The sequence below is a fragment of the Homo sapiens genome, chromosome 10, assembly GCF_000001405.40.
Source record: "Homo sapiens chromosome 10, GRCh38.p14 Primary Assembly".
In the NCBI taxonomy this organism is placed as follows: Eukaryota; Metazoa; Chordata; class Mammalia; order Primates; family Hominidae; genus Homo; species Homo sapiens.
The window spans coordinates 1,879,198-1,895,283 of NC_000010.11; positions in this window are offsets into that span (position 1 = coordinate 1,879,198).

Below are 16,086 nucleotides of genomic sequence, written 5' to 3' on the forward strand. Positions count from 1 at the left end.
CGCAGCTCATGTGAATGTGTCAGCAGCTATCCTGTATCCTGAGCTACCCACTTGTCAACTGAACTGCCCAAAATATTCATGGAAGCTTCGCTTGTCCCAAAGGCCATTATTATTTGTGAGCTAACATGTAAAGTTTGTCATTATAATTTTGACAGCCATTGAAAACAAAACCATCTTAACATCAAATTAATACTTTCACCTGATTCAGGATACCTCCTATAAATATATCAAGGTGCGAACATCTCCAACACCATCATTAAACATGCTAACTCTGTTACCAGGCAACACTTTCCTTAATCTCTTCATTCAAACAGAGGCGAGAATGTCAAGTTTTAGTATCTCATAGAAGTTGACTCAGGGAAAATCACCAGCATCATGCAGGGATTTGCTTAGGACAAGAAGATACATTTTGATTTTCAAGTGAAGGATGTGTTGCTTTAAGTTCTATGACATTTTAAAGCATTTCAGTATTTGGACAGATGCCATTTTAAAATAAATGCGCTTGTGCCCTGAGTCATAATACTCTTTTTTTTTTTTCTTTTTTATTTATCAAGACTGGGTCTGGCTTTGTTGTCCAGGCTGGAGTGTGGTGATGCAATCATGACTCACTGCAGCCTTGAGTAGCTGGGACCACAGGCACACACCACCATGCTCAGCTAATTTTCTATATATATATGTATTTTTTTTTTTTTTTTTGTAGAGATGGGGTTTAGCCATGTTGCCCAGGCTGGTCTCGAACTCCTGAGCTCAAGTGATCCTCCTGCCTTGGCATCCCAAAGTGTTGGAATTACAGACATGAGCCACCATGCCTGGCTGATACTCTTCTATAGATGGCACAGTTGAGATTTTCTTAGGGATTCAAGTGGGAGAAACAGGATGCCTATAAATTTGTATTCTTGCTCTACCACGTTGATTATGCCAATTCCTCAAAATTTTTCCACCTGTGGTGTTGCAAGAAGAGGGAGTAGGAAGAAAGAAGGGAGAAAATCGAAGTGGTGGGAGAGATGTGGAGAGATCTGCGAGCATCTGTTGAAAGGGGTTTCTACAAGGAACTCAAAACAGGCCATTCTTTCCCATTTCTGTCAACATCTTTGTTTCTTATTCATACATAACCCGTCCAACCCAAGTCCTGTGCTCAAGGACTTGTTGTGGGAGAAGGGTGCAGATTACAGACATGGACAGGTGCTTTGCAACCTCCAGCAGCAAGAACTGGGAGTTTCCCCAGTCCTTGAACCTGGGCTTGACTTTGACTTGCCTCTGCCAATTGACTGTGGTGGAGGCTTTGTTGGAGGCTCTGGGTCTTGTTCTCAGGAGGTCTAACGGTTTATTCTGTTGCCCACGGATCTCTGCCAGCCTGTGGGAAAGATGGGACAGCCTTGCTGGGGAGAGAGACACTAGGTGGAGAGGAGCTGCCCAGTCCCTGGTGACATTTCCCTTGGCCGGCTGGGCCCTGACAGACTTTGTAGTGTGACCACAGACACTGTATGATCCCTGTTGAGAAAAACTGTCCAGCTCATCTCAAGCCCAATTGAACACCTGGTTGTTGTTTTAAACCACGAAGTTTGGAAGTGGTTTGTTACTTAGAAGCTTGTGGATGGAAAAATCACTACCTGGAAGAGGAAGGCTGAAAACAACAGCAATAACAACAGAACAAACTAAAACATGTGACGTCGGCTTTGGGATGAGGTAGGGAGCAGAGGCTGGGGAAAAGAACTGAAAAAAGAATGAGCAGGTTTTCAGTGGAGGTTGTTTAGAAAACTACACGAAAAACTGGAAAAATGCTGGCCCATGTTATGTTGAAGCCAGAGAATTAGCACGTCTTCAGCGGTCTCTCGGGTGAGAGAAAATGGGTACTATCAATGTGTGGACCTTGTGGAGGTGATTTCCAGGCAAAACGTTGAAAGTGTAAGTTGGTTCCTTTTTGCTATTTACGAGAGGACATTAAAAAAAGGGAGGTGAACTCAAGAAATGATTGTTCAGCTTGGATGCAGTATTTTGCAGGAACCTACAGTAGGCAGGTCTTGCTAGTTTGAAAAACAAACCTGCTTCTCCTCCATGGGATCCACAGCTGGTAAAAGGCCCTCAATGTGCCATGAGGCCCGGAGCCAAAGGTTACATCTAGGGGGTGGTAGGACTGTTTGTTAGGACTTCTGATATGATTAAAGTGCTACAGAGAGAAGACCCTTCAGCTCTAAGGAAGGGCTAAGAATCAAGGAGTGCTGTCTCTTAGAAGCTTAATCACAAAGTATCTGGAAGCGAGGTTGAGAAAGAAACATGTCTCAAAAACATCTGAGGGTGTGGCTTTGGTTGACCATAGAGGGCTAGCTTGCAATATATGAAAAGCTCATGACACTTTTAAGAGTGCTGTGCAAGAAAATGTCACCTGATGTTGTGCTGGGAGGGCCTGAGGTGGATGAAAGGGCAAAGAGTCCTCCGGTTTTCCACAGGCAGGAAGCAAGGTGAGGGAGGCCCTATCTGCAAAGCCAGAGGTTTCTGTGGAAAAGGAAGAGGGCCTTGGAGGAGGATGATAAGAGCCCAGTGGGTGAAACCAAGAGCTGGAGGGAGCAACAGAGAAGGGAGCCCCTTGCAGGGCACGGCAGGACCGAAGCGCCAGGGCTTCTGAGAGAGGACGGTCTGAAGGGAGGCTCCCGAGGGGCAGAGCTGAGACCTGATGTGGGCACGGCCAGCGCCGCTAACAGGGAAACGGCAGCTGCCTGGGCAGAATCTCAGAGGTGTTTCGGAACAAGAACTACATCACACCTTGCCTTCCTTCACCGTCCCAGTGGCCGCACCTGTCACATGTATGCTGTCCCCAGAACACCAGTGTGTTTTGTGTGTGTGAAAGACAGAAACTGACATTCTAACTCAAAGGTTTCTGCATCACTAGGGGTTGACTTTGAGGAGTCATGTCTGGACACGATGTGAATGAGGAGATGCTGGACTTTGGGCTGAATTCTACGGTAGGATGAGGCATAGGGGGCTGTGGGTAGGGTGATAGCCCTGGGCATGTGGGAGGGGTGCAGCTTAGTCATGCCAGAGAGTGAACTGTTGATAATCGATTGACGCAGTGTGGTCCCACGTGAATCACACCGATCTCAGAGTAACCCACCTGAGGCAGGGCTCAGGCCTTCGGCTTGCTTTGGCTGATGAGACAAGAGCCCTTGTGGTTTCAACCCAGCCGTGCACGGTGCTCGCCCCACAGGGCTTGCTCATGCCTGTGCCGGAGTGCAGCCACCTGGCAGCCTGATTGATTACAAACAACCTGTGGGCTGGGGCCTCCACTGTCCCTGCTGACCGCCAGCCAACGTGCACATGTGTGAGAGAGGCTGTGCAGACTCGTAAATGCTACTTCATTGCCACCAGCAAAATATATCCTGTGTCAGGGACAGAACTCTAGAGTAAAATGGTCTGGGTCACCTCACGATTCCCATTCTTGGGCTATTTTTTTACAGCTTCTTGCTCAGAAATAAATGTGTCATATTTTCAATTTGTAATGTGGTGAGAAATGCGGTTTCTTTTCTTTGATTCTAGAATTTGTTTGGATAAATGTGCCTTTGACGTAGATGATATGCAAGATACAGAATTTGACAAATGTGTATACCAGTTCTCCTTGGGCAGAATTCCCATCGGAGCCTGTGTTCATTGTTTTACTCGTAAGGTTAGGCTCAGCGTTTGTGATGAACAAGTACTTTAATTCTATTCCAGTTCTTACTGATGATGCAATATTTTTCTACCTTTATCTACATGAAGATAAGATCAATATGGTTGAATAAAGTCTGCTGTTTATTGCTGGTATGACCAGTTTATTGCTAGTGTAACTGTAAGTATGAGCAGATATTTACAACTAAGTTTGCTTGTTTGCTTGTTTGTTTGTTTAAGTAGGTCTGACTCCCAGATTCTGCAAACCCTGAATTAAAGCATTGACAATGGGAATCTCACCTGTCTATCAACAACCCCTTCCACATGGACTCACTTTTCCTCAGCCTCTCCGTGGCTTGTCCTTTGAATGCTATCATTCTGGTGTTATTACTGTCATTTTTGAAACAGGGCAGTATATGTTGCTGACATTACTAGCTGTAAGTATCCCTGAAATGTATAATTTTAGATGTTCCCAGGCTACAGTGGCTGACACTGGCTCCCCTCAAGCTGTCAGAGCAGTGGGGTGGCGCCCCTTGTGCCCCTTGGAACAGACGATCCTGGGAGTCTTCTCCACATGAGCTGTGAAAGCTGCACTGCAAGGGATGTGTGTGTTGGTCATATTTGTTTGTGTGTGTGTGTTACCACTTAATACAGAAGCACCATGCATACTGAGAGAAAACAGCCTCTCTCTTATGAATGCATCCCTGTACTTTAAATACTTTAAAAGGCGTGCAAGGGGGCTTTCTACTTCTGCTTCCAGCTATGAAGAAATGACTGCTGCAAGACGAGATCCTCCTGTAACAACCAGGAAAATGGAAAAAAAATTATAAGGAGTGATTGTTTTCAGACTTTGGACAAAGACAGTACCATGCTGTCATCACTTGATGGACGGTATTTATTGCAGAAAAAGGAGGCTAATGAGGTGAGTTCCACATTCATGCTGGTTCTTGGTCTGGGGACAGTTTTCTACCTCAAGGCAAACTCTGGAGCTCAGTGGAGTGCGGTGACCCCACAGAGCGGAGGACGAGGCAGGGCTCAGAGCCTGGCAGCTGTGGGTCTTCTATCTGTGTGGCTCAGCCCAGAGGAGAAGGCACTGTGCAGAGCGGGGCACAGAGTTCCAGGCAGAACGTGTGCAGCAGCAGTGGAAATCACGCGGATTGTTATTTTGAAGGCAAAGTAGTAGAGCCATTTTGGAACATAATTTGGCAGTTTCTTTTCAGCTTAAACATACTTTTACTGTATGGGTCAATTAGTAAATGAAAACAAGAGAAATCAAAATGTACCTTGACAAAAGTCTTGTATCTGTATATTCATAAAAAGCTTTATTTAAATAGTCAACATTTGCAGAGAAACCCAAAGTCCATCAAACCAATAGAGATGAATACATTGTAGTTCTATCTACATAACAGAATACTATTCAGCCAAAAAAAGACACAGACGGCTTATCCATGCAACAACCTGGGAGATTCTCAAAAGCATGATGCTGAGTGAAAGGACAAAACATAAAAGATTACATATTGTATAATTTAGGTCCATAAAGTTTTAAATTTCATACAATGCAACACTATAGTGGTAAAAAGCAAATAAGTCATTGCTTAGACCAGGTAGCATGGGAGAGATTAACTGCAAAGGAGTGGTAGGAAAATTTGGAGGTGACAAACATTTACGGTATGATTGTGTTGCTGATTACAAGGCTGGACATGGTGCCCAACCTCAATTTATAAACTTGAAGAATTTTATTAAAATATATCATGCCTCAATAAAGCTGCTATAAACATGAATAGAAATAGTCTTTGTCAGACAAACAGAAGCTGAGAGAAAATGTTGCCAGCAGCCCTGCACTGCAAGAAATGTTAAAATAAGTTATTTATGCAGAAGAAAAATTACACCAGATGGAAACTTGTATAACAGAAAGAAATGAAGAGCACCAGAAATTGTAAATACAGGCAGACGTATCAAAGACGTATTTTCTCACTTGTTAAACTTTTTAACAGATCTTTGACCCTTTAATAAGAAAAATGACAGAAATGTATTGTTGGATTTATAACAAATCTAGATTTAAAGTGCCTGACAGCAAAACAAAAACCAAATGGTAGTAGGGGAGTGGAACTATGGTGTTTACATGTACCTACACTGCACGTGAAGGTTCGCTGAGATCGGTTACAGTGATATGCTGCAGACCCAAGTGCTACCACTGAAAAATAAAGAGATACACCTGTTACGCCATCTTGGAGGTCAGACTGAATCTTAAAATCCTTCCACTAATTCCTATGCAGATAGGGAAAAATAAGCAATGGTCACGTGAGACAAAAGGGAAGCTCAGAGCAAGATAGTAGATTTAAACTTAGATATTTTTAGAGTACATCCGTTATATAGTAAGCTTACCAATTAGTAGGTGGAGTGCTTTGTCAAGAAAACAAACCACCAAAGATTACTTAAGAAAGGAATATGACGCACTTTGGGAGGCCGAGGCAGGCAGATCATGAGGTCAGGAGTTTGAGACCAGCCTGGCTGACATGGTGAGACCCTATCTGTACTAAAAATACAAAAATTAACTGGGTGTGGTGGTGGGCACCTGTAACCCCAGCTACTCAGGAGGCTGAGGCAGAAGAATCACTTGAACCCAGGAGGTAGAGTTTGCAGTGAGCTGAGATCATGCCATTGCACTCCAGCCTGGGTGACAAGACCAAGACTCCGTCAAAAATAAAAAAGGAGTGTGACTTGTTCTAGATCTAGTAAATAAATAAAATCATAAATTACAGTCATCACTAAAATCATTTTCTTAAAGAATATTCTAGTCCCAGTGGCTTTACTGATGATTAGTGTGAAATAAATAAAGGATATGTAATACCATTTTACATATTCTTTTCCAGAAAATAGAAGACTTAAGAAGTAGTCAATCCATTTAATGAGGCCGGTATTACCCAAAAATCACAAACACATGTAACAATAAAAGCAAAGTTCGTGCCAATATTTTCATGAACATAGATACAATAATCCTTAATAAAAATTTAGATCAGCAAATCCAGCTATATTAAAAATTACACATTATGAGCAAGTTTATCTAAAGAATGTAATTTTAATTTAACATTTGAAAATTCCTCAACCTGTATCTTAACGGACTTTTAAATAAGAGCTGCACGATGTTCTCAATAGATGCAAAAAGGGCACTTGAGAAAATCAAAATTTGTTTAGATGAAACCTACCAACAAACAAGGAAGAGAAGCTTACTTTTTCAATATGATAAGTGACATCCATGAGTTATCTATAGCTAAGATTTGGTAGAGTTAAATTTCTTGCAAGTTATGGTATAGGGCATGAGTGTCCGTTCTCACTACTTTGCTTCAGTATGGGATAAAAGTTTCTAGCCCATGCAATATGGCAAGAAAAATAAATAAAGATCATAAATATTAAAATTTCTGTTTGCATGATGCTTAGTTGGATATGCAAAAAAATGCAATCTACTGGAATTAATGTGAATTTAGCAAAGTTTCAGGATATCAATTTATGATACAAACACCAATTGCATTTTCTCATATTAACAATGAATAATGAAAAATGTCTTTTAGAAAAGCATTTATAGTAGCATAAAGACACTAAATACTTTCAAAACTCTTTAATAACAACTAAAATATATTACACAAAAGACTGCAAAATAAAGCTAAAGGGAAATTTAAAAGATCTTAAAGATTTGAGTGTTATATAATGTTCATGAATTGGAAGACCCAGCATTGCTGTTATTCTCTACCAATTAATCTGCAGGTTTCATGCAATCCAAACAAAAGTCCCAGGATGCTTTATTTTGTAGAAATTGACAAGCAGAGTCTATAATTTTATATGGAAATTCAAAGCACTCAGAATAGCCAAGAGAAGCTTAGGTAAAAATAAAAGAATGGGAGGACTTACTCGGTCTTATTTCATGACTTACCATAAATTTGTAGTCAATAATAGAGTATCTTGTTTGTATACCATTAGAAAATTAGACGAATATAGCAAATGAGGAGTCCAAAAATGTATTCATGCTCATTTGGCCATTTGATTACCAACAAAGGCTCCGCCATAATTTAGTAACAAATGGAAGTTCTCACAATCAATTGTTGCTGAAAAGATATTGATTTCAAATAAAATTAACTTTGACTGCTACCACATAGATAAGTAATTTAAATTGGAATTAAGACATTTAACAGTATAAATATTGTAGAAGACAACACTAAATAGTATTTTCACAGGTTTTAGATTGGCACAAGTTTTTGAATGAACAGCACAGAAGAAAAGCATGCAACATATAGCAAGAAAGATAAATTTAGCTTCATCACAAATGAACATTCCTGCTTATCAAAAGAAACTGTAAGAACTGGAAAGAGAAGCCACAAATATTTTATATATATATATATATCTGTCAAAAGACTTTCATCTATAATATATATAAAGAAATCCCTCAAGAGCAAAACTCCGTCTCAAAATAAAACCAAGAAATCCCTTTAATAAGAATTCCCTTTAATCATAAATTAAAAGATAACCAAATAAATAGAAAATAGAGAAAAGACTTAATTGGTTACCTCCCATAAATAGACACATAAATGGCTAATAAGCAAATAAAAGGTGCTCAACACCATTAGTCATCAGAAAATTGCAAGTTAAAACCACAATGAGATATTCCCATTTTTATACTACAGAGTGACATTAAAATGATTGAAAATACTAATAATAAATCTTGGCAAAAATGTAGATCAACTGGAACTTACAAATATTGCTACCTGAAGAGTAAAATGATACAAATTTGTTGGAAAACTGTCCACAAATTTCTAATAAAGTTAAACATTTATGTTCATGAGACCCACTGAAAAAATATGTCCATTTCTTTTCTACCTGTAAGTAAAAAAAAAAAAAAAAAACTTTACCTTACCAGGTGCCTGCTTACCAGACTACCTACTTACAGGGGGAAAAGAAATGAAAAAAACCTATAATAATTCTCTAGGCATGTTTTTATTAATATCAAAAAACAAAATAAAAATAAAAAAACAAAAACTTGTAAAAAATTTTTTATTTTTATAGGTTTTTGGGGAACAGGTGGTGTTTGGTTACATGAGTAAGTTCTTTAGTGGTGATTTTTGAGATTTTGGTGCACCCGTCACCTGAACAGTATGCACTGAACCCAATTTGTAGTCTTTTATCCCTCACCCCTTTCTCACCCTTTCCCCCCAAGTCCTTAAAATCCATTGTATCATTCTTATGCCTTTGCATATTCATAGTTTAGCTCCTACTCATGAGTGAGAACATACAATATTTGGTTTTCCCTTCCTGAATTACTTTGCTTAGGATAGTATTCTCCAATCCCATCTAGGCTGCTGCGAATGCCATTAATTCATTCCTTTTTATGGCTAAGTAGTATTCCATTGTGTATACATACCACAGTTTCTTTATCCGTTTGTTGATTGATGGGCAATTGGGTTGGTTCCACATTTTTGCAATTGAGAATCGTGCTGCTATAAACATGCGTGTGCAAGTATCTTTTTCAAATAATGACTTCTTTTCCTCTGGGTAGATACCCAGGAGTGGGATTGCTGGATCAAATGGTAGTTCTACTTTTAGTTCTTTAAGGAATCTCCATACTGTTTTCCATAGTGGCTGTGCTACTTTACATTCCCACCAGCAGTGTAGAAGTGTTCCCTTTTCACTGCATCCATGCCAACATCTGTTATTTTCTGATTTTTTGATTATGGCCATCCTTGTGGGAGTAAGGTGGTATCACACTGCAATTTTGATTTGCATTTCCCTGATCATTAGTAATGTTGAGCATTTTTTCATATGTTTGTTGGCCACTTGTATATCTTCTTTTGAGAATTGTCTTTGCATGTCCTTAGCTCACTTTTTGATAAGATTGCTCATCTTTATCTTGCTAATTTGTTTGAGTTTGTTATAGATTCTGTATATTAGTCCTTCATCAGATGTGTAGATTGTGAAGATTTTCTCCCACTCTGTGGGTTGTCTGTTCACTCTTCTGACTATTCCTTTTGCCGTGCAAAAGCTCTTTAGTTTAATTAGGTCCCAACTATTTATCTTTGCTTTTATTGCATTTGCTTTTGGGTGCTTGGTTATGAAATCCTTGCCTAAGCCAATGTCTGGGAGAGAGTTTCCAATGTTATCTTCTAGAATTTTTATAGTTTCAGGTCTCAGATTTAGTTCCTTGAGTTAATTTTTGTATAAGGTAGAGATGAGGATCCAGTTTCATTCCCCTGCATGTGGCTTGCTAATGCAGGAGAATGAATAACCAAATTATGGTCTTATTCATATGATGGGGTACTATCAGCAATAGAGCAGAACAACCTTCTGATACAACACAGAGGACATGAAAAGTGGATGCCAAGCAAAAGAAGTCAGATGGAAAAGAGTCTATCCTGTATTATTTCACTGACTTAAAGTTTTTGAACAGGCAAAACCAATCTTTGAATTGAGTGTGAGAATATATAGATAGAAAGAGGCATGAGAGAAAATGCAATGATGATAAAAATATTCTGAATCTATCAGGCGGTACCTACATTGGTATACACACATGTAGAAATTCATTGAGATGGGTAATTGTGACTTATACTTGTATTATATGTAAATATAAAGCAATAAGCTATCATTTCAATATCTATCAAATATGGTTTCATTTTAATATTTGTGGGGTTTTTTTAGCTAGAATCTTGAGCTATTTACAATCATCCCTAGTGAATAGTTTTGGATAACATGGGATGAAAAGGAGTAAATTTTAGCGCAAAAAGCAATACGACCTTAAAGCTAATTTAATTAATGTCCAAATCTGACCTCTTTTGGTTTTCTATTAGCAAGTTAACTTTTTTTTTTTTCTTTTTTTTTGAGACGGAGTCTCGCTCTGTCGCCCAGGCCAGAGTACAGTAGTGCAATCTCGGCTCACTGCAACCTCCGCCTCCCGGGTTCACGCCATTCTCCTGCCTCAGCCTCCTGACTAGCTGGGACTACAGTCGCCCGCCACCACGCCCAGCTAATTTTTTGTATTTTTAGTAGAGACGGGGTTTCACCGTGTTAGCCAGGATGGTCTTGATCTCCCGACCTTGTGACCTGCCCGCCTCGACCTCCCAAAGTGCTGGGATTACAGGCGTGAGCCACTGCGACTGGCCAGCAAGTTAGCTTCTTACCTTACAAGGCTCAAAACAAACGCCAGAATAGCATAATATGCCCGGGAGGAGGCGGGAAGGGCCTCCCGAGGTCACTAAGTAAGAATGCTCTGGCCTTCAGCTTGTTCATTTCCTGATTGACTACAGGACTGACTTGCAGGCCTAAAATGTTGAAAGATCAAAAACACCAGGGATTGTGAATTAATCTGAGGACAGCATTTTATATTTTATACAATATATTTTTATACAATAAAATAATCTTTATTCAGTTGAATCCATTTCATCAAAATTTATCGATTAAAATCAGTCCTATCAGTAGCTCACTTTTTTCTTTGGTGGATGGTTTACTAGGAAGGCATCGAATAGAGGATAATGGGGTGTCCTTTTCTTGTATTTTCCCTGCTGCCATTGGCTGGCTGTGTGCCTGGGTTTACATCTAACCAGCCCACCTCAGGATCTTTCCATATTGACCTTTCCATAGCCAGTAATCGACCTTCCCTTTGGTGTTGGATACAGCATTTATTCTAGTACATCTTTTATTGTAATTGCTCATTAGATGATATTTTCCCTGTTGAGGATTAAGTTTTGTCCCAGAATGACTTACTCTCTCCCCAAAGAACTGACAAAAGAGGTGAAACAATCACGCAGATGAACAGTCATTTGACAGCTTTTCCTCGGACAGCTCCCCAATCCTCCCTTGCCCACCCAGGAGGGGCTGTGGTTCTCCTGGTCCTCCTCAGCGCAGCTCTCAGCCTGCTCACTGTCCCTCAGTGGATTCTGCTCCTCTTCCTCTATTCTCAGGTTGTGGGATTTTAATGTTTGTATGACAGTGGGCTGAATGATAGATATTCTCTGCAAAATCTTATCTTTTTCTACATTTTTTCCGTCTCTTAAAAAGATAATATTTTCCTCCACATTTTATATGTTTCTCAAAATATTTGCCGTTTCAAAAATTTATCATATAATCTCAGGGGAAAGATAGGGGATAAAGCATAATATTTACTGTACCAGACACATCCACCTCCAGTTAGAGCTCCATGACTACCTCTGCTTCTGCTCCTCGACCTTTGCCATCAGATTTTCCCAACAACCCATTCAAGGATACTGTTTCCTCTCATTTTCTTCCTTCCTTCCTTCCTTTCTTCCTTCCTTCCTTCCTTCTTCCTTCCTTCCTTCCTTCCTGTTGTACTTCCCTTTCTATTCTTAAACTTCCCATCTGTTTATATTTATTGTGCAGTTCTTTTATTCATTTACTAAAATAATTTTCCATAGATTTTTGTTGTTATTGATTTAAGTCCCAATCTAGAATTCCTGCATTTGCCTGTCTCTGGGTTTTGCTCAGTCCTGTCTTGGTAGATGTCAAATTTCCTTGCTTCTTCAAGTATCAACTAATTTTTTTATTGGATTTCAGGTATATTGTGTAAAACGTCCAGAAGATAATTAGATGCATCATTTTTACACCCAGAAAGCTCCATGCCTCTTGTGTCAGGAGGCCAATTTGGGTCTTGGGTCAATCTACTCTGTGGCTGAGTTCAATCTGGGATTTATTTTTCCTAACTAGAGTCAATTCGCTCTGAGGTGCTAATAATTTGAGAGCAGTGTGAGAAGAGTTTTTGAGGAGGTGAGTGCCTAGGAGTCTTTGTTCTTCTCAATGTCTTAGTCTTTCCCCCAGACTTGAGCAGGACCAGCCCTGGGGTTCTCTGCTCCCCTGCTCCGCCTGAAGCTTTTTATGAGCATAAAGGTGAGACCCATCGGTAAGGACAGGCAGGTGAAAGCCAACCCTTCATGGGGTTCCTCGCGGCTTTCACCCACCATTCCAGTGGGTACTTGGCCCTAAAGTCCATGGAAATTCAGCTGCCATGTTCTTACCTGCCCCTTCCTCCACGGAGGGCAGCTCCCTCCCTGATCTGTGATTCCAGTGAAGATAAAAGTCACTGAGCATCTCCTCTTCCAAGGAGGAGACTCATCTTCCCGGCCCACTGGGTTTCTCTGCCTCCTCCACTCTCGGATGGGCATCGAGGCCTTCTCACTCTGGAGAGTCTTTGAGTGGTGTCTGTTGTCATGGCAATGTGATGCTTTATTTCAACTTTCTGTGTCTTGAGCAGAAATAAAGAATTTAATACATTTGTAAAGAATTATCAAACAAAAAGGAAATAACCAATAACAACTAGCCACATGTCTACCAATATGTCACTGTCAAGTACCCCTCTTGAGTTTTAAATAGCAGGTAAGTGTAGAAACTTTTTTTTTGAGATGGAGTCTCACTCTGTCACCCAGGCTGGAGTGCAGTGGCACAATCTGGGCTCACTGCAACCTCTGCCTCCTGAGTTCAAGAGATTCTCCTGCCTCAGCCTCCCAAGTAGCTGGGATTACAGGCATGTGCCACCACACCCAGCTAATTTTTGTATTTTTGTAGAGACGGGTTTCACCATGTTGGCCAGGCTGGTCTTGAACTCCTGACCTCAGGCGATCCACCCACCTCAACCTCCCAAAGTGCTGGGATTACAGGAGTGAGCCAGAGTGCCCAGCTAGAACTTACATCGAAGAGCAGCTGGCCTGTCCCTGGCACCTGCTCTCTGATCGCTACTCTTCGACCTCTCTCTTCTTGCATTTTGGTCACCACCATAGGGACGAGCCCATCTCTTGGTTTCAGGGTGCTCTGCAGCTTATTGCAGTCTTAGGTGGAATGCCACATTTGAGTATGACATGAGTTGCTATCTCACCCTCCTCTTGAACTCCGCCTCCCCACATTTCTCCAGAAAAGTAGATCCACACACGCAGGGTTTTTGGATAGAATATCAACATTACCTGAGGACCAGAGCAGGCGCTTTATAAAGGATGCTGCACAGGCAACGGAGGCTCCTTCAGGCGTGCTGCTGTCCTTGGAGGACTTGCTTTGCCCATCACTGGCCTCCTGTCCCCATGTGCAGCACTCAGCTTCATTGCCAACACTCTCCCTCCTGTGAATTTCCCCCAAGAATTCTCTATTCTAATCCATTAATTATGCAGAATTGCTTCTTTCTGTTCTATGAAATATAGCTGTAGCCTAAACAAAATATCTCTCCAACACAGAAATGACCTTACCAGAGGCTTAGAAAGTAAGACTACCTCGAAGTTGTTACATTTAAAATGTACTAGTGTTGCTTTCATTAATATACTTATGCTTTTTGATCTATTTTCTCATATCTCTATGTACACATGTCCTCAATGCAGGATATTCAGACATGATGATGATGTTTGTGGATATAGAATAGATTAGAATGCCTTACAAATCTTTTTAAAATTGTTGTTTGTATAATTTTAGGGGGTACAGGTACAATTTTGTTGCAAGCACAGATTGCATAGTGGTGATGTCAGGGTGTTTACGATATCCATCATCCAAATAACATATATTGTACCTATTAAGTCATTTCTCTTGGAATTCTCACTGAACCACAACTATACTGGATGGTTATGAAAGGCCGCCCCCAGTGGCTAGATAATGTTGAGAGAATCACACCAAATATCAAAAGAATTAGAACTCTTTTATGTTAAAAGTTAATCTAAATGTAGCATTCTACTCCCTGTTTTAAACTTAATTTTACATGAAATGTTAATTTTATATATATATGTGTATATATACACATATATGTATGTGTGTATGCATGTGTATCCCATTTATGCATACAATATGTGTTGTCCTGTGGGCTCCAGAATCTTCTGAAACATAATTGCATATATTTACAATTTTCGGAGAAACACAGGGACATGTTTTTCACGTCTTCCCTGACTTACCGCGTTGCATGTAACGATTCAAGACTGCAGCCTACAGTGCCTCTCCTCCACATTCCTCTGGAATTTTGTATTTTATTAAATCCTACCCTTGAACACTCAGCAAGTGGCCCCCTTACCAATGTTTTGCCCATCCTATCCAGAGATCACAGATGGAGATTTCAATCCAGGTCTTATTTTCGCTGTGCTTGCCGTGTTTAGTGCCCTCCCTAAGCGGCTGCCAGCGAGGCACCTGGCCCAGCTGAGATGGATGTCCTCTCCCCAGCACGAGGTTGCATGGGACGCCTCTGCCCACCTGACCTCAGACTAATTGTACAATTAGTGCTGTAATATAAAGTCTCTGAGTGAACACAAGTTCCCTCTTGCCATGATTAACTCCTGGGCTCCGAGGCAGCAGGAACCATTCACAAAGTGCAAACTAATTAATGTTGGAGGACACAAGTGAGGACAAGGGAGGTCATGGAGCTGGAGGCTCGCGACAGAGCCGATGGCAACAGAAATCAAAGTGCAGCTACAGCAGTCGCAATGGAAATTTTTTCAAACTGAATTTTATTATTTTCTCTTCATTTCTCTTATTATTTTCTCTTGACTTTGCATACAGGAGGCTGGGGGATATAGAAAAGAAAGACATTGTTATAATGATGCAGCTCTGAACAGCTTATCTGCTGTATGTTTCAATATACTTAATAAAAATTAATACTTAATTTAATTAATAATATTAAAAAATAAGCATTTTGAAACATACAGCAGATAAGCTGTTCAGAGGGCCACAGCCTCAATGGCTGGAGGAATCCTGTGACCGGGAAAGTCTATGTTTTCACCAATCTTCGTTAGCCAGTCGTAGGAAGCACGGCTGATATGGGCTTGGGGATTAAAAGTTACTGTTCTGGCCATGTTGCCATCAACTCCCAATATATGACACATGGGAAGATTAAAACATAAACACAAGCAGCAAAAGTGAAATAAAAATACCAGTAAAAAACAATGATGCTTTTCCTATAGTTTATGAAACTGAGTGAAGACAAAGATCTCTCTAGAATCAAAAAGTGGTACCTTAAAATTCTCCTATTTAATCCTACCATAGGCAAATCTGAAAAAAAAATTGCTCCTTGATCTTTGTGACTTTTTACTGATAAGAATTATTGCTAAGTGGCAAAAATCAAAAACAAACAAAAAATCACCATAGTATACGCCATAGTATACACCGTAGTATACACTGTAGTATACACCATAGTATACACCACAATATACACCACAGTATACACCATAGTATACACCGTAGTACACACCCTAGAATACACCATAGTATACACTGTAGTATATACACCACAGTATACATCATAGTATATACCATGGTATTCACCATAGTGTACACCATAGTATACACAGTATACACTGTAGTACACACCATAGTACACACCATAGTATGCAACACAGTATACATCACAGTATACACCATAGTATACACCATAGTACACACCATAGTATACACAGTAGTATACACCATAGTATACACCATAGTATACACCATAGTATG